Source organism: Homo sapiens, chromosome 10 (assembly GCF_000001405.40).
Source record: "Homo sapiens chromosome 10, GRCh38.p14 Primary Assembly".
Classification (NCBI taxonomy): Eukaryota; Metazoa; Chordata; class Mammalia; order Primates; family Hominidae; genus Homo; species Homo sapiens.
The window spans coordinates 27,713,455-27,733,339 of record NC_000010.11 but is presented as its reverse complement, the minus strand read 5'-3'; the positions used below and the strand labels follow the sequence as shown (position 1 = coordinate 27,733,339).

At 37.6% G+C, this 19,885-nt stretch overlaps 1 protein-coding gene across 9 annotated transcripts in view; it reads left to right on the top strand.

The window, feature by feature from the left end:
- The window catches only part of MKX (mohawk homeobox), a 72,946-nt gene that overhangs the window by 12,480 nt on the left and 40,581 nt on the right, over positions 1-19,885 (top strand). For 2 of the 9 annotated variants that reach the window (XM_017016107.2, XM_047425118.1), the window contains exon 6: positions 14,744-15,047. The exons of the other annotated variants lie outside the window; for them this stretch is intronic. In XM_017016107.2, coding sequence (XP_016871596.1) covers positions 14,744-14,793 — 50 coding nt within the window. In that variant the 3' untranslated portion in view covers positions 14,794-15,047. Of the gene's footprint in view, positions 1-14,743; positions 15,048-19,885 lie in introns of those variants that run through there. 9 annotated transcript variants of the gene reach the window in all.

Below are 19,885 nucleotides of genomic sequence, written 5' to 3'. Positions count from 1 at the left end.
TATTAAGAAATCTAAAGTTGCTCTGTTAATGTACCCTTTAGATCATTTCACCAGCAATCTGATTTTCAAACGTTTACAAATATATATGAGACAAATGATCTACAAAGATTCAGAGAAAATATCAATACATTTCTAAAGACTTAAATCAACCTCATTTTCTCTTTGCATCACCAACTCCAACAATAAAAACAAACTCCAAACACTCAAAATTACAGAAATTGTCTTGTAAATAATAATTGGGTCTAGGAAGAAGAAAAAATAAAAGAAAATTTGGCCAATAATGAAAATGAAGCTGGGCAAGGTGGCTCACAACTGTAATCCCAACACTTTGGGAGGCAGAGGCAAGAGGATTCCTTGAACCCAGGAGTTTGAGACAAGCCTGGGCAATATGGTGAGACCCCCATTGCTACAAATTTTTTTTTTAATTACCCATGCATGGTGGTGCATACCTGCAGTCCCATCTACTTGGGAGGCTGAGGTGGGAGGACCGCTTGAGCCCAGGAGATCAAGGCTGCAGTGAGCCGTGATCATGCCACTGCACACCAGCCTGAGGAACAGAGGGAGACCCTGTTGCAAAAGAAAATGAAGACACTACATATTAACATCTGACTGTTGTGACCAGAGAAGAGCTTGAAAGTAATTCAGAGTTTTATGAATGTTTATTTTTAGAGACAGGGAAAGAAATCACATTGTTCAAACAGATAATTGAAAAATAAAATAAAATAAAAAAAGGTCAAATGGGAAGCTGAAAAATAAATAAGAGTTGACTCTTTTAAAACAATAATAAATTAAACAAGCAAAAATCGACGCAAATTAAAATTGGAAATTACAAAGGAAAGAAACAACAATCAATAAACAGTTATTAAACAAAAAAGGTTTTAAAAAATTATGATGAAGTACTATGCACAGTTGTTTGGCAATATACTATATGTAAATGTGTATTTAAATAAATTGGCATTCTCCACACAAATTAAAAGTTCATAAACAAGAAAAGTTTTAAATGGCCAATAACTAGGGAAAAATTAAGATTTTTAGTCAATCCAATTCCCAAAACACATGACTTAATACATCCATTTCTTTTCAAACTTTGAAGAAGTAATTAATGCTCGTGTTTTATACATTTTTCTGGAACATATAAAAAGTATCAATTTTAAAAAAAATGTAAACGTTATCCTACTCTCAAATCAGATTAAGACTGCATAAAAGTCAAGATCTTTCTTTATAATACTGATACTATGAAAATACTTGAGAAATATTTATAATGTAATATTGAAAAACAATTCAAAATTGTGGAAACACTATAATACAGTTATGACAGTACAAATGTGCATAGGCAAATAAAAAAAAATGACAAATACATTAATTTTAATGAGACAGAGTAATTGGTAATCTTTTATTTTAAAATATTTTTCTTATAAAATTTTTAACATTGCCTGGTAAAAACATAGATTAGATGCCTACGCAATTTTCCCAGTGTGGTGAGTCTTCTGAAAATGCATGTTCTTTTCAAAAGTGACAAAATATAAAGCCAGAGTGAATAGCATGCCTGTAGAGTTGATTCTTTTCAAAGTTAAATATCTCGGTGGCTTGTTTTTATTAAAGCATTCCAAAGGCACTTGGTCCATAGTATGGACTATTCATTTGCCAAATTCTATTTTTAAATAAAAGCCTATTTTTTTTTTTTAGTTATGCAAGCAATGAGAAAGCAACCTAGACATGTAAACTTCTGGTTTTACATGCGTGTGCACCAACTTAAAAAGGGCAGACTAAATGATTTGTTTTTATGGTTGGAGAATTAAGAAAGGCTGGTGGCCTAAGACTGATCTGCTAGGTTTCAGGTCAAAACAATCAATGGCTGTCTTTGGTGGGAATTGAGTGACAGTGTTGCTGCAATCGTAGCTGGGTTACCAGGCATGTATAAATAGTAAAACAGGGGATTTCAAGAAATACTTTCTGAGCAACTGCTATGGTTTTCTCTGGCATATAACCTTCTTCTGAATTCTTTCAATTCCATCTGGTTATATCTTTCTTTCCTCACCTAAATAGAAATTTTCTAAGTCTGTATTAACACCCCCTCCCCCAGTGCTACAGTAGTACAAAGATTTTGAACTTTCAAATTTTTTAAAAGAACACTTTACAATTTATTTGTTTTTGTTACAATTTATTGCTGAGGAACTTTTCTTTTTTCCTTTTTTTTTTTTTTTTTGAGATGGAGTCTTGCTCTGTCGCTCAGGCTGGAGTGCAGTGGCACGATCTCGGTTCACTGCAACCTCCACCTCCCAAGTTCAAGCAATTCTCCTGCCTCAGCCTCCTGAGTAGTTGGGATTACAGGTGCGTGCCACCACATTGGGCTAATTTTTTGTATTTTTAGTAGAGACGGGGTTTCACCGTGTTAGCCAGGATGGTCTCGATCTCCTGACCTAGTGATCTGCCAGGCTCAGCCTCCCAAAGTGCTGGGATTACAGGCGTGAGCCACCGCGCCCGGCTGCCAAGGAACTTTATCCAATTATTCATCCATTTTTGTTAGAGTAGCTGTCTTGTGATGAGTTTTATTAAATATATGGAATCAAATAGCCAATTGAGGCCGGGCATGGTGACTCACACCTGTAATCCCTGCACTTTGGGAGGCCGAGGCAGGCAGATCACCTGAAATTAGGAGTTCGAGACCAGCCTGGCCAATATGGTGAAACACCGTCTCCACTAATAATACAAAAATTAGCTGAGCGTGGTGGGAGGCGCCTCTAATCCCAGCTACTCGGGAGGCTGAGGTACGAGAATCGCTTGAACCCAGGAGGCAGAGGTTGCAGTGAGCCGAGATTGTACCACTGCACTCCAGCCTGGGTGACAGAGTGAAATTGTGTCTCAAAAAAAAAAAAAAAAGCCAGTTGAAAGTTGGTGTGAGAAAGGATAATGTATCACTGAATTTTACTTCACTTATTTTTATTAAATTCTAGGGGGCAGAATCTTGTAGATTATAAAGTAGTAATCCTAATTGAAGATATTACTAGAAACATCAAAGCAAATGCAAACATATTTTTATTGATTTTACATAGACATTATTTCTCTGTAATCCACAGTCTTTGGCTTCATGCCAGGGTCATAGCAGGCTCTCACTACAAATGGGTTGAAACATTTTTGACAGCAGTAATTTTACCATTGCAATTGATCAGAGTTATTAAGGTCATTGCATCTAAATGTAATTAATACTCAAAGGAAATTTAGTCACTCAGTGTCATCTGTTGAATTAAGTCATCTAAATTAAAATTATAATTTGTTTTTATCATGTGAGCTTAGCGAATGGTAATTTTCAGATGTTTGACTGAGTGAATTTCCTTACAAACTGATGTCCAAGCCTCTAGCCCCCAGGTGGTCTGCTCTCTCTGCTCTCTGTGGTGCCAGGATAAGGACCCCCGGTGTAATATCCACCTCCATTCCTGTTGAACCAGGGCTCAGATTCTCCAGATGGAACCGTTTTTGCCGCCTTACAGAGTGGGTTCTCACTGGAACCTTTTCTAACTTGAATTAGACTTTGACTTTACCCTCAGAACCAAGCCTATGGAATTTCTTTCTCTACTGAAGGAGGAAAGAGGATTCTAAGAAAGAGTAAATCAGGCAAGTCTTGAAATAAAACCTGTGGAGTTCCCCTCTTGTTTTGCTCGACTTGAGGACAAGCCCTTGTTGCATTTTTCCCTTTCACAGATCACAGATGATCAGTTTATAAAGGCCTAGTGCAGGCCAGGAGCGGTGGCTCATGCCTGTAATCCCAGCACTTTGGGAAGCCGAGGCCAGTGGATCATCAGAGGTCAGGAGTTCGAGACCAGTCTAGTCAATACAGTGAAACCCCATCTCTACCAAAAATAAAAAAAAATTAACTAGGCATGGTGGAGCGCGCCTGTGATCCCAGCTACTACGGGGAGAGAGGCAGGGGGATCACTTGAACCTGGGAGGTGGTGGAGGTTGCACTGAGCCGAGATCACGAGATCATGCCACTGCACTCCAGTCTGGGCAATAGAATGAGACTCTGTCTCAAAAAAAAAAAAAAAAAAAGGCCTAGTGCATTAGAATGGTTGCTCTATGAGCCCCATGGCTCTGTCAGCATATACTTTATAAATTTATCCTGCTCCCAAGAGTTTGAATGTTTAAACTTCATTTTGTTACACTCTCTAAAATCCCTCTTAATTAGACACATCTGGTATAAAGCAAAGCATCTAGGCAGATAGGAGTGTTTTCTATGTTAGTATGAATTAATCGGGCTAACTTCCCATCTGCTTGATGGAGGTGAATATCCCTGGGAAGAAATGAAGATTTTGATTGAGAGAAAAAAGAAGTCGTTTATTGGTGCATGGGACACTCTGGGAGGTAGTATCCATTTGGATGTCCTGCTGCGGTTGGAGACATGGAACAAAACGAGAGAACAAGCCATTTTGGTTACTGGGGAAAGAGGAACAAGGATGTAGAAAGTTTGGGAGGATAACAAGTCCAACTGCCATCTCCAAACCATTTTTCTTGGCTCATAATGACCCTCAGGGGAGAAAATGTTCTTTTTTCTTTTTCTCTCTCTTCCTGCACACTGTGTGCCTTAAAATTTAAGCTGGTATCAGTAGTAAAATCTAGATATGCTCATGAGTTCAATAAACCATTGGATCTGCGTGGGCTTCAAGCTTAATTTATGACATAGTTTCTTTGGAGAAAGGTATTCTGTTCTAAACAACCAATGTAACAAGCTTCTGGGACACAGTCCATTGGTATATGAGGTGCTGCTCCTATGTGCATTCATTCCACATGCAAAAATGACAATTAAGAGCCACTCCATGAAAGCTCTGGCTTAGACTCACTGGAGCCCTGTGTTTGGTGCTGGTCACTCTATCCATGAAACCATATTTAAACGAACCAGAAGAAAGGTTTAAAAAGATGCCTTGGCAGATCTTTTTGAGCAGTGAATATTCCCCCTGACAATATCTGTTTCCTTCATTTCAGCTTTCGTTTTGGGGGGTAGCTTAAAAAAGTCTTACGGCGGCATCAAGAGCCATCTGTGTTAAGGGCCCTGTGTGAGTGCCTCGGTGCACACGCACGGTTTCTCTTTTGGGCTTTTGTTGACCAGTAAGTCTACCTCGGATACTTATTTTCTTATTTTATTTCCCTTTCTGTGCTGTCACTTTCTTGGTTTTAGTGAAAGAATTAAGCTTTGCCTTTTTTGGATTATTCCAGACATTCTTTTCCTGGCATGCAAATGACTGTTGATGTACTCCAGCAGAGAATAATAAAAGCCTCTATCACCAGTCCAGCGAGTGACATTTAAAGGATATTTGAAAGGTTGTCCAATTCCTTGTCTTGTACCTTACCTAACAAAGGCCATCTGGGAATGAGGTATTTCACATAAGTCCAGTTTCCAGATAGCAGAAATCTAAGGACCAATTTAAAAAATAGAGAATTTTCTTCTCTTCTAAACTTACACTATTCAGCACAGCTTTGGAGAGGTACTTTAATAATCTTTCTATTCTCTAAATGTCCTCTTCCTTGTATTTCTTATATACTGTTCCACCCTTTCAAATCAGTAACCTCAGGGTTAATCACAATCGGAAACTTGCCCCTCACTCCTTTGAATAAAGAGCCTTGTCTTCCTGACAGCCTTTTTAAAAGAGAACTTTTCTAATTACTTATTTCTAAGCAGAATCTTTTAAAATGAGATTTATACAAATGCTGACCCTTTGAATATGCATGGGATTGCTATAGAATTATAAAAACTTAAGCACTATTCGGAATACCATAGATTCTTAGTAAACATTTATGAGTGATGATTGTAGCAAAACACATTGACATGGATTCTTTCTGAAGTTCAAATTAATTTGATGTTTGAAAATTACATTTCTTTCTGGCTTCACTTGCAAAAATTCAAATGCAATTGTACCAGGGTTTCACCCATTGTGAAGAACTGAGAGATTAATGGAAGACAAGAAAAGAAAAAAGAAATATTGGCAACATGAGCTGTGTGCTGGCTCCTTCAGGGGTGGCTTTCCATTCACTTTTCTCTGTTATTTGGTATCACGTGAGAGCCCGAAAAATCCTACGTGTAGATAGATGCTGAGACTCGCACTATCATACTATATAGCTTATAAACAAATCGAAAGTATGAGGCAGTTTAGCCTAGAAACTGTACAGATATTTTAGGGTTGTGTTTGCTTCTGACATTTTTGTCCTTTTATGTTGTGGTACCTAAAAAATGTAGCAACACTGATTTCATATTTGGCTGAATGTGGGCAAATTGTTTTCCGAAATGCAGTCGCATCCTATCTCTTTCATTTGGTACTGGCTCTCACTGCCTTGTATATATATATTAAAAGTTCCTGGAGGCCCTGAAATGGTGCTGTATTAATTTTTATAATTCCCCTAGTGCTTATTACCGTGTCTTTCACGTATTTACTCTATAAATGTTTCTTCAGTGAATGAATTCGTGTTTTGATGATTTAGTGTGTCTGCTCCTTAAATCATAAAAAACATTTAAATTTACTTAAGTATATGTTGATCTGTGTCTGTGAACAGAACAAGAGGAAGGGTCCTGAATAAGTTTGAATTGGTTTAAAAAAAGTTTTAAAAAGAGGAAAAATGTAAAGTAAAAAAAAAAAAATTAAACAATGAAGCTGAAAACAATGAAATGTTTAAGAGAGTCAAAAGAAAAACATAGAAAGAGTAAAATGAAACTAAATCGATTTTCAAGTAAAGGAGTGACTTCCAGAGAAATGCAAGGATGAAAAATGGAAAAATTTAGAGAGTTTAAAAAAAATCCACCAAAGAATAAAAAGCACAGCCGATAGACAAATAAAAACAAATGGAGCTTTTACAAATTTGACTTCACTAAGTAATGGGATTTATTGTTTACCTAGTAGCATACTACTACTTTGGAGGTGAGACTTAAGAAATAAAGCACAGATCTAAACCCACTCATTTAAACCCTGCGGCATGCCACCTTTACTGTCAGGGTTGACAAGAACCCTAAGTCAAAGTTGTGACTTTTTAAGAATGACTATTTTTAGCTGCATATGAGAATAGGAGAAAGTCCATACAGAAATTTTATACTTTCTCTCTCCTCCATGTGCAAGAGCAAAGATCCCATACATTTCTGATATTTTCCTGTTAAGAACAAGTTTACCAACGTTAAGTTTTGATCTTACAAAGGCATTCTCTGTATTTTGGCATTATGGTTCTACTGATATTTATCAGCAAATTGATCATAATTGACTTTCTGATACTCAATGCATTTCAGACTTGCTTCAGTGGTCAGTCACATCCCGGGGCAGCTTCACAGAAGTGCTTGTTCATGTCACTATATTTAAGACTGTGTCAGTATTTCCATTAAGAGACTTTCTCATTCCCTAGGGCTTCTAAATAAGTCGTAAAAAATCAAGCCAAACTCAAAGCTGGCATAAAGGGGTCCTTTTCTTTCTTCTCCTATGTATAAGGAATATAAGCACGTAACTCCCATTAATTCTATATTTAGTTAGGTTTGTAAATGCTTTATACACTGACGAGACCAAATATGATCCATTGATGCTTCTGTGGCCTAAGATTAAAAAGAATTTCAAGAAGTTTTTACTGTCTATGAAAATAACAAGACATTCTAATTAATGAATATGGAAGTGGTTTCTTTTCTCCCTTCTTTTTTTTTTTTGTTAGTTGCAGTTAGTTTTTTCCTTTCTGCCTCCCTACTTTGTTTCTAAAATTAAGAAGGTATTTTTCTGTGTTAAAATTTGTCTTGTTGATGTAACAGAATTTTTACACAGGGTAAATATGTGCTTTCTTCCAGTCCAGAGTTTTGGTACTTTTAATTTTGGAAGCCTGGTTTCTTGTTTTCCATTATAAATGATATCATTTATAATTGTGAGTTTTGAGGAAGTGAAAAAATATAATAATAAATGTGTTCACTTTGCCCAATTTCCTTCACAAAATTTGAATATTTTTCTCAGTTTTCAGTTTAAATGAAGGGTGGTGTGTTTAAATAACAGCTGCGTAATGAACTTTTTCTCTCTTTCCTCTTTGACAGCTTCCGTTACCCAATTTCTCTGTTTCATTGTACTAAAGAAGTAAATAGACAGGGATTTTTGTAAATCCAGCAATCAGCTTTTAAAGGATCTTCCAGATCAATCCCTTATTTTTCAGGTTAGGAAATTGCTTTAACCTCTATACAAGTCCCTGAAAATGTTCACTTTTGGCTATGAGTTTCTCTGTTGCTTGGAGATGTGATCCTGATCCTTTGTACAGTAAGTCTAACGGTTTTTGGCAGCTTCAGGTACTTAAATGACTTTTACTTAAAAAATACTTAAATCATTAGTGTTGAACTTTTGAGAACTTGGAGTATGTGTGTGTGCATTTCTAAAAGTTTCTCTCTTTTAATAGCTAGAGTGGAAAGGTTTTTACACAAGTTGATATTATAAATTGTGGGTTGTAATAGCCATACAGTACCTACGGATCATCTTTGGTTATTATGGGAAATAGAAATGGTTTGCAGAAGATCCCACACCATTAATACTGGTGGCCAAAGGTTTCTGCGGGGTGTGTGTGTGTGTGTGTGTGTGTGTGTGTGTGTGTAGGTAGTAGTAGCAGTAATAGAAATCGAACATAGTTGGAAAAACAAGGTCGCTTTTGAAGACGATCGGTGGCATCTCCCCTCTGCCTTGTACATAACACTGGAGACATTGAAGTTATTACCAGGAAGTGGCCAGAAACAATTTGAGGGATGACAACCCAGTTTGAAAGTGGTTTTGAGGAGATAGATTAGTCTCAGTTTGAAGCAGCAACACCACTCTAATTTTAACAGTTTGGAGTCTTCCCCAAAGTGAGTCAGTAACTGTTTTTCCAAGCCCAGTAGGAGGTGCTACAGGGTGAAATTCACTTTTAGCATTTGCTCAGGTCACACAACCAAACAAAGCAAAGTTGAAGTTTAGACTTCACAGGCTCATGGTTTTGGGCAGCACCTTAGCAGTGGCCATGATTCTCTTAAGCACTTTTTTCATGTCTTCCGGAACTGCTGGACTGCAGATAGGGGTAAAAACTGCCACTTGCCCACTGACTTCAGTACTTTTGAGTATCTTTGACACAGTGATGAAGATGTACATCTTTTACACACTGTGTTCACTTTTTGGTCCTATTACACACACATACACACAATTTTATTTTTTTGTGTGTGTGTTGTTTTTGTTTTAAATGAAAATTTTGATCAGTTTTCATTTAAATAAAGAGAACATTTTTTACAATGTGATTTAGAGAGGAATATTTTAGTAATACAAAATTAAAATGGAAAAACAGAACTCAAATGAAAATGAAACCTTTTAAAATGCTGAAAGGTGGTCAGAGACAACCATTCATAAAGTGATATTTCCAAGAAACAGCTTGCTCCTTAAGTTTTCACATAGTTGCCTGTGTATTAAGAACTGATAGTCCTTTCAGCTGAGCCAGTCTCAGGTGATGGTGAACAAATCTCCCAGTATGGCAGAGACATTTCAAGTAAGAATGCCCTGTTCTGCCAAGACAGTCATGATACTAAAATGTACCCTTTTGCTAAGGGCCAAAATTCAGAGTCTCTCCTCCCAGTTTCTACACTGATGTAGACAACAGATGCACAAAAAGGCAAAGTGGTATGTCACATGGCTTCAGAGCAAGAGGATGGCTATCTGGCAAGGGAGAGAATTCCTTAAATGTTACTGGGGCTTACATTTCTAAACATAAAATTCCTAGCCAGAAGCTATTTGGTGCCAAGTGTCTTTGCTGTGATGCCTGAGCCTAGCAGGAAGCTGGATGGTTGCAATATTGTGGCTGGCTGTTGGAATCCACACAGCCTTTGCTAATTTGCAACCAAGATTGAGTGATATGATTGTTTTCCATTTTTTTCTTATTGTTGTTCTGGTTGCATCTGATCTTGCCATATTTTCTTCTCCTAGAATTCTCTTCTGAGCTGCTAAATCTATCCAGATGGGTCAAGGAGTTTCTTCATAACCTTGTCACTAGTGCAACTGGTCTTGTTTTAGTTTTGACGGTGTCTCCTGGGTTCATTTATTTTAGACCTTTTTAGAAATATGGCACTAATTCATATTTATGCAGCAACCCATGGGGACTCTAGCTTATCTAACTGTGCACTTTTTTTCTTTCAACTGTGTACTTTTTTCTTTCAGAAAATTTTGTATGTATATTTTTTTCTTAAAATGTGCTTGGAAAAGTATAAGCATAAATCATCTGGAATAGTAATTCTCAACTATCTTGAAAGGTGTGCGAGGACTATTTCATGGTTACTATGATTGAAGCAGTAAAATTTAGTTTATAGTTACAATAACTTTCCTCTCATTAGGAAAATATAAAAAAGCTCAACTTTATGATTTCACGACATATTACCAACCCTTAAATTCCATTCTAATCCCCACCCCCTAACACACACAGACTCAGTGAAATGCTCACAGGAAGCTCAGAGAAGAACCGTAGAGGCATATGACCCATCTGTGCTATGTTTGACCTCACGTTGTCTCTCAGATGCTTTCATTAAAATGACAGCATAAAGGTCTGGGTAGAGGCTGGGTTGAAGGAATACACATCAAATGTATATTTTGATTATAGTAAAGTCCCCACTCCTTCAACTGTGATTTGGAAAATGACTTTGTAGGGCCCCAGTTTTCTCTCCAACCAACCTCCTTACCTACACGAAATTATCCACTTGTAGATGAGACCACAGGAAGCTATAATGTGGACAGAGCAGAGAGCAATGCCTTAGAAATCAGCAGCTCTGTGTATTGGCCAGATCTGTTAGCAACTGGGTGTGTGTTTTAAGGCAAGTCCCTTTATTAATCATGGCTTTCGTTCCTTTAGCTGTAAAACGAAGATGTATGACAAGATAATCCATAAGTACCTTACATCTCTGACAGCATGCAATTCTGTGCAATGCACAGAGAGACAAGGAAGCCCACAGTTTATAGAAAGTCATAGCTAAATGCACACCGCAATGTCTCTATTAGAACAGAACTTGGGCTCTGAGCCACAAGACAGGGACATTGCAAAGGAGCATTGGGGAGCATGGCACCAGTAAACCTCCCTGGTGACAGGTAAAGGACTCTGCCCAGTGGGGGTGTTGGGCTCTGACCATGGGGTAGGAGGCCAAGAGGGTAGATGTCACGTGTTTACATCTGGCAATGCTTGCCTTATGTCGTGTGTCATTTTTAGGAGATCTCTCCCAAGATTATAGAAGTATGCTATATTTTAACTTTTCTGATAATTTTTATCAGAAGTATATTTTCTGACATTTTTATTATTTTAAGTACATGTTATATACTTATAATCTACCTACAATTTATTTTTGTAAATTATATGAGATCATGATCAGACTACTTTTTTCTCCACCAAATGAACAGCCAATTGTCCCAACACATTTTACTGAATATTTCTACCTTTCCTTATTGATTTGAAATACTACCCCCATTATATACTGACTTCCTTTATATGTATGCCTATTTCTGGACTCTATTGTATTCTATCAAACTTAAACATATATTAATAGCATGACATTTGATTTCCTTTTTATTTTAAGTTCTGGGATACATGTGCAGGATGTGAAGATTTGTTACATAGGTTAACGTGTGCCGTGGTGGTTTGCTGCACCTGTCAACCCCTCACCTAGGTATTAAGCCCAACATGCTTTAGCTATTTTTCCTGATGCTTTCCCTCCCCTTGATCTCCCCATGACAGGCCCTAGTGTGTGTTGTTACCCTCCCTATGTCCACATGTTCTCATTATTCAGCTCCCACTTATAAGAGAGAACATGCTGTGTTTGGTTTTCTGTTCCTGCATTAGTTTGCCAAGGCTAATGGCTTCCAGCTCCATGCGTGTCCCTGCAAAGGACATTATCGCATTTCTTTTTATGGGTGCATAGTATTCCATGGTGTATATGTACCACATTTCCTTTATCCAGTCTATCATTGATGGGCATTTGGGTTGGTTCCATGTGTTTCCTATTGTGAACAGAATAGCGTACCATTTTCATGAGTGTAGTTTTATTGTCCATTTTGATGTATGACAGGGTATGTCTACTTCCATTTTTTTTTTTCAAAATATTCTCATCTAGGTCCTTGAATTTATTGTTCTAGTAGAACTTTAAGTTTGATAATTCTATTTTAAAAACTCTTGTTAGAAGTTAATTTGGGATTTCATTGACTTTAAATGTTAGTTTGGAGAATATTTTTGTCCATGATATTTATATCAAATCTTCCCACTGAGGGCATGGCAGATTTCTCCATTTATTCTGGTCATCTTTTTAGTTTTTACAGTTTTCCTTACGTAGGGTTGGGATATTTCTCATTAGGTTAATTTCTGGATTTTTATTTGTTGTTCTTATTGTTTCTATTGCAGATGAGTTCTTTTCAATAATAGCTATAATGGATATACGGGAAAGCTGTTGCATTTTGTATATTTTTCTTATATCTAGTTCCATTGTTCAAGTACACAAGTATCTCATCTTCAGATAGTAAGTTTTGTGTATTTACTCTCCTTCTCTTTCCCTTCCTTCCTCTCTCCATTTATTGCATCATGTTGGCCAGGTCCTACAAAACATCATTGACTCACAGCAGTAATAACACACATTAATGAGAATTTGTCTCATATTTTACCATAGAGTATAATGTTTGCAGAAGGTTTCTGGTGTAATCACTTTATTGAGTTAAGGCATTCTCTTTCCATTCCTAGATTATTTAATAAGATATCTCCCCAACCACACACTTAACTGAATAGGTCATTGCATTTACAACAAACTGCTGTATCTATAGTTTTTAAGATTGTCATCTAGTTGTCCTCTTTTAATCTATTTAAGTTATTTACAGTAGTACATTTCCTAATGCTTAATCATCCTTGAATTCTTGGGAAAGTTTTTATTCCATATCAATATAATATTCTTTTAATATATTTCTGGATTCACTTTATTAACATTATTTAATAATTTTGCATCAAAATTCTTAACTGAGATTTGTCTTTAGCTTTCTTTTTTTTTTTCCTAATGGTCTCCTTGCACAGTTTTAGTATTAGAGTTATGTTAGGCTTATTGAATGAGCTGGAATGTATTTTATCTTTTTCTATGCTAGGAAATTTTAAATAAAGTTAGCATTAACTCTTCCTGATGCCTTGAAAGTTTAAAAGAATTCACTTGTGAAAGGATCTTAGCCTGAGATTCCTTGGTTCTCTACTTTTCCTCTTATGTTTCTCATCTTTCTCCTCCATTTTCTGAACAGTTTTAGCTTTATCTTCTAGATTATTATTAATAATTTGGTCTTTAACTTTTCCCCCATTCATACTTTAATCAACTTTTTCTCTCTCTCTCTCTTTTTTTTTTTTTTTTTGAGACTCTGTTGCCCAGGCTGGAGTGCAGTGGCACAATCATAGCTCACATCAGCCTCAAACTCCTGGGCTCAAACAATCCTCCTACCTTGGGCCTCGAGAGTAGCTGGGATTACAGGCATGTGCCACCATGCCCAGCTAATTTTAAAATTTTTTTTGTTGAGATGGGAGTCTTACTATGTTGCCCAGGCTGCTCTCAAACTCATGGCCTCAAGCAGTCCTGCTACCTTGGTCTTCCAAAGTTCTGAGATTGACAGATGGGAGCCAACATGCCTGGCCCTATAAATCAATTTTCCTACTGCAGTTTTTCTTTTAAGTTTGGTGTCTTATTTTTATTCTCCAAGAACATCTTTTTTTTCTTATCACTACTTTGTCATAGCAGCTATGATCCCTGTAGAGATCAGAAGTTACTAGAATCTCTACTCTGTACCTCTTAATGGCCTTAAAGCCTTTTCTAGGAACCCCCCTTAGACAGGTCCCCTAACCTATTTAAAGAGCATTTGTAGCAGCTTTATGCTGCGGTTAGATGACCCAGAAAGCTCTCTGTGGACTCAGAGAGGAAGAAGAGGTATGCCCTAGCTCTTCTGACAGCTGTCTCGTAACTGATAATTTTCTTGATTCCCCTGGTAGGCTACTTATTCTTTGTGAACTGTGCACTTGGAACATCTGTGCCCTGTTGGGAGAAGCAGCTCACACTCTCCACGGTCTTGCCCTCCACCTGTTTTGAGTTGTGGTTCCCAGTTTGGATTTCCCCACCAACTTGATGCCATATGTATTTTCCTTTCCATGAATTTCTCAACTTTTCTGACTTGGCAATGGTACCTTTTATTGTTTTTGAGCCCCATTAAGCATGTATTTGTTTTCAAATTTACATTTTGCAATTTAATGAGATTTCGAGAGAGAAATTAATAAAGCTTATTCAGTACCCCCTCTTAAAGGGTAATTCTATAACACAGACTTTTAGCAAATGATTTTATGGTAAAAGATGTTTTCCTTACTTCTGAGAGTTTTTATGGAGAATTTGCACACATTCAAAGTTAAGCATAGATTCTGAATATCAACGAATAATAAATACAGAGTAACTGTGCACACAATGGAGCAGTGGGAATTGTTGCAACATTCCTGGTAGGTTTCATGTACAAAAACATGATGCATTGTGATAGGTAAGACTTCCTGAACTATGGTGCTTGAATAAAGAGATAAATATAATTTAGTTAAATAAAAAAAGCCATAATTATAATAATATGATATATTATTACTTGGCAGTTGTGCACCTAATCTGTACTGTACTTTTGAAATGTGACTGGAGTCCAAGTGGATACTATTTTACTATGTCGTTAAGCTTGTAGCACACTAGACCTGACTTTTCTTTTTGTCTTTCCAGTGGAAAACTTAGGTTCTTTGAGTGAGGACTCCTGGGATTTTTTAAAGTAAAAACAAGGAGCTAAGAATTCCACTCCTTCTTGCCAATATTTCCTTCAAGCAAAATTATTGATTAATGGAAAATTAAATATCATATGCTTCATATTGCTTTTTTACCCTTTTGTACTTGGGTTATTTTAATAATTTTCGCTAGCGCTACAAATGTAATTGACTAAAATTATACATCAAAATAAAACAAAACCATGGGAGGGAAAAGATTATCATATTTTGAAAACATATCAATAAAGTACATATTTAAATTTGCATATTTGGCTTATTGTGAAAATGTCAAAATAGTTTTGCTTTCCTCTAATACCTTCATTATTATTTCTTCTTTTTCTTCTTCTTCTTCTTAGTAATAATACAGTGTATTGTCTTTGCTTAGCGCTTTAGATTCTTCGTTGGTTTGTTTGACTGTGAATGAGATGACTGAGTATTTCACCATACTTCTATGTCCCTGAGCAGTGGTGAACTGACCACAGAATATTTTTCTGTGAGTTTTCTTTCTTCCTTCAGGAATAAGGTTGATTGTTCATCTGTCACCAGGAGGAAACTATGATGCTTACACAGTAACGAATTTAAAATAAGCCACTGTTCCCAAGATCTTTCCAAGAGCAGCAAGCTTTCAGTGGAGTAACTAATATTTCTAGAGTCCTTTGTTTGCAGGGCACTTATCATCATTGTGTTAGGCAGTCCCTGTTATGCTGCATGGGTCTTTCCCTGAATTATAGAGCTAGTTCTCTGGTTCATCCTTTAAGGTGCTAAAATCACGCTGATGAGGTCGAGTTTTACATGTTATCACTAGTTGATCTCGCCACTGGGCAAAAATCATAAACAGCAAATATCCAGACCTAATTTCTAGCTAACAATTGCAGCATACTCCTCCACCAGGCTTTCCCTGGGAATAGGGGAATTTGAAGGGTTTTCTTTTCCAATGTTTCTGTATATCCTGTTGGAGATGCTGATGGGCAATGTCATCTCCACACACATATTCTACGAACATATTAAGTGAAACCTCTGCAGCTAAGAAGGGCAAGAGAAATGCCAGACGTCCAGCCTGAGATCATGGTACCTACATGGCCAGGAACAGACAGCTTGCATGCAGCAGTCAGGAATGTAGTATGTGGTTTCTGAATTCATTAACAATGTCAAGTTGAAAACTGATGACTACAGTTATAAATCAGAGAACAGTTTTTAATGCATATGTATTAGTTTTCTCTTGCTGCATAACAAATCATCACAAATTTTGTAGCTTTAAACAGCACCCATTTATGAGCCCAAAGTTCTGGAAGTCGGAAGTCTGGCATGGCATAGCTAGGTTCTCTGCTCAGGGTCTCACCAGGATGACATCAAGGTGTCATTCTGGGCTCTAAGAGAGAACCCACGTACAAGCTTATCCAGGCCAATGACACAGCTCATTTCCCTGTGGCTATAGGACTGAGACCCACATTTCCTTGCCTCTCAATTTCTAGAGGCTGCCCAACTCCCTTCCTTGTGGCCTCCTGGCACTTTCAAACCAACACCCACATGTTGAGTCTTTCTCAGGCTTGAACCTCTCTGACTTCTCCCCCTGCCTTCCCCCAGGAAAAAGCTCTGCATTTAAGGGTTCATGTAATTACCTCAAGCCCATCCAGATAATCTTCCTATTTAAGGTCAACTGATTGATCATCTTAATTACATCTGTATAGTTCCTTTTAACATGGAACGTAACATATTCACAGATGTAATACCAGGTTGAAAAGTCATGAGGGCAAAATTCTTCCTACCCCAGCATAGATCATGTGGCAGCGGGATTTGGGTAAGGTTTGGCCCGTACAACCACAAATGTTTAGACAATTAACATTATGATGAGTGTGAGCTTATAAAGTACAAAAAAATGTACCGCTTTAAATGCTTTTGGTATGGCTAATCTATAAATGGAGTAATCAAATCCTGTCTAAGTAAGTTAGTTGAAATTTACATAATTATTTACATATGAGCACAGAAAACACGTGTTCTCTTTATCCATTCAGTCAATCTTGCTTTCCTTAAGGTTACTTGTATTTTATCTCATAACATAAAGTAGGCATTTTCACATGCAGGCCAGCATCAGGCAATTGACAGTGTGCTTTTTTTTTTTTTTGCTTTTTTTTTTTTGAGACAGAGTCTGACTCTGTCACCCAGGCTGAAGTGCAGTGGCATGATCATGACTGACTGCAGCCTCATCCTCCCGGGCTTAGGTGATCCTCCCACCTCAGCCTCCCTAGTAGCCTGACAATGTGCTTCTAAGGTAGCTGGCTAGATTATTCCCCATGGCATGATGAATGTTTATCACACATAATAATGGCTGCTATTTATCAAGCATTTCCTATGTGCCTGGCATTGTGCTATGTGCTACACTTGCATGTATTATTTTAGTTAGTCCTTACAATAACTCTGTGATGTACATATTACTATCCTTATTTTAAGGATGAGGGAACAGACTTAAATAGCAGAATGTGCCCATATAAGCTGAGATGTTGCAGAACCATGATTCGAATTCATATCTGTTTGACTCTAAAACCTTCTTCAGCACTATCTTTTACTTTTTCCCAATCCTGGGAAAAGATGGCAGTTTATTTTTGAGAGATCCTTAGACCTGCTTTTATGTCTTCCTCTACCTTTTTTTCCCACTATGCCCAGAGCAACCTATGTCTTTATGCTATGCCCAGCCCCCAGCCCATCCCATAGGTCCTCTGTCTGCCCTTCGATCTTCTGGAGTAAGTGGTTTTCCATCTGTCAATCGAGAATGGCAGGCTCTCATCTCAGGCAGCTGACGTCAGTAAAGTATGAAAGGAGCACCATCAAAATAGCTTATACCAGGGCATAATAATGACAAAAATAGCTAGGGATCCCTGTGCCAGGCACTGCACTAAGTGCCCTACATGTATTTTCTTACTCAAGCCTCATAATACCCCATGAAGTAGGTACCTTATTATCCTCATTTCCCACAGGGTATTTTGAAGGCAGAATTTCTAAATCTCTGAGGGGATTAACAGTGTGAGAGAGTTTGCAGGGAGAGTCCTTGGCTTCTCCAGGCCATCCTAATCCTTTCCTCATTCTAGAAGATTAGGATCAGCCACGTAGCACCCTCATCTTCAGTAACAACTTTCAGTCTAAAATTTATTTCATCCCTCCTTCGTCTTACTTCAGATCCTTTCTCCCGGAGTGCCACTGTGAGCATTTGAGGCTGGAGAGAATGCCATTAGGACCAAGCCTTCTCTGTAGCACAGGCCGGTGGCATTTTGGTCTTAGAATCCCAGGAGAGAACACTGAACATCTCTGTAGAGAGGAGAGGGACTCCAGCAACATAACACAGTGTCCAGGGCAAAGCAAGCGTCTGCCTGCAGCAATTCTCCTGAGAGCCATGGAGGCCAAAACTATGATAAAGGAAAGTACAGCAATTGCATGGAACAAGGGTTACAGGCTCCTTATTAGTGGGGAGAGCTGCTCCTTTGAAAGGGACAGCAAGTCTGTTAAGAAAACAAGACTGCAGTCAAGTTCCTTCCTATGGCCTAAAGATCTGAGTGGCCTCAGAATGCCAAAGGCAGGAAAGGAAGAGAGACCCTGCCTGGGGTCTAGGGTCCAGGCCCTCAGTCACTGCCCCTGCCTGTAGATTCGACTTACACCCTTTACTTCACATCACTCTGTAAATCCACAGAAAATAAAGTTGCACCTTGATTTTCAGAATAGATACATTCCAAAAACAAAAGGTTTACATCTAATCAAGGTTTAAGGACAGAGCAGACACTTGGTGTTTTAAACTAATCTTGCCATAAATCGTTTTGTTATATGTACAGCATAAGTCAACTTCTGTTTCATAAGTTTAGGTTCTAAGATACTGAGTTTTTCTTACATTTCATGTTAACCAGAAATATCAGCTTCCTTTGGTTGAGTCTGTCATTGTGTCGGCAGTAACGGCTATTAAAATATTGCATCCTGGTTGTAAAATATAACTGAAATCACTGGAAAATATAATACTAAGTGGGCAAACTGTGACTACCATAGTTTCGAAACCACAAAAATGTTGTCTTGATGAGGGAGTACATACTCTGTTTTTGATCACCTTGTATTAATGAAGATTGTTACTTTAAGAGAATAATTAATTTTAAAAAATGTCAAGCGCTTTCTCTAACAATGGGACTCAATGACATTCCTTTAAAACAACTTTCACTTTTAATCTATCATTAAAGCCAAAGGTTTTTTTAAATTTTAAAAGCTTGTCCTTGAACTAAAATAACATGGAACATTTTAAAACATGGCTCCAAGCTGCTCTACATACATTTTATTTAAACCACAGAGACTGCAGTTAGATTTCTCAGTGCCAGACAGACTACAAATTATAACTGTAGCAGAAGCGACTGTGAATTTCTGGATGTTGTAGTACCAGCGAGCCTGGTTGCTTTTTGGAGCTGTTCCTCCCTTTGGGCTCCACTCATGAATGACTTAATCCCTGTGTCAGATCAAATGTCATGCCTGTTGCCATGCAGAGAAAAAGCAAGCAAAGCCTCTTTTTTTTTTTTTTTTTTTTGGTCTTTGCACAAATTTGCTGTACTCGCCTACAGAGGAGCAGGTGAGAAGTAAGAAAAGTCACAAAATAGAAGTTGTAAAGTGAGGCTAGAACACAGTGAAACTCCAAATGTTGAATGTATGATGAAAATATCATCTAAAGCAGAACGCCATTGTTTATCATGGCAAGAAGAGGGCAATAACATCCATGGTATCCACGGTTGAATTGTAAAAATATTTTTACTAAGGTCATTTTTGTACTTACTATTCTGGTATTAGATTAGCAAATCTAATGCCAGATTAGATCTAATAATACCGTATATTGTGTTGCACTGTGTACTGTAGAAAGTACCTGAACATCTGTTATTTTATTTGATCCTCATTATAACTCTATGAGGTAAAAATAAGGATAATTATTCCTGCTTTCATGCAGGGTGGGAGGGAGTGATCATCTCTTGCACAGCTACTTAATGGCAGAGCCAGAAAGAAAATTTAAGTCTCTAAGCTCCTGGTTCAGGCTCTTTCCACTTGATTTTACTGTGTTTTCCATCCTGGTTAAGTCAACTCAAAATAAAAA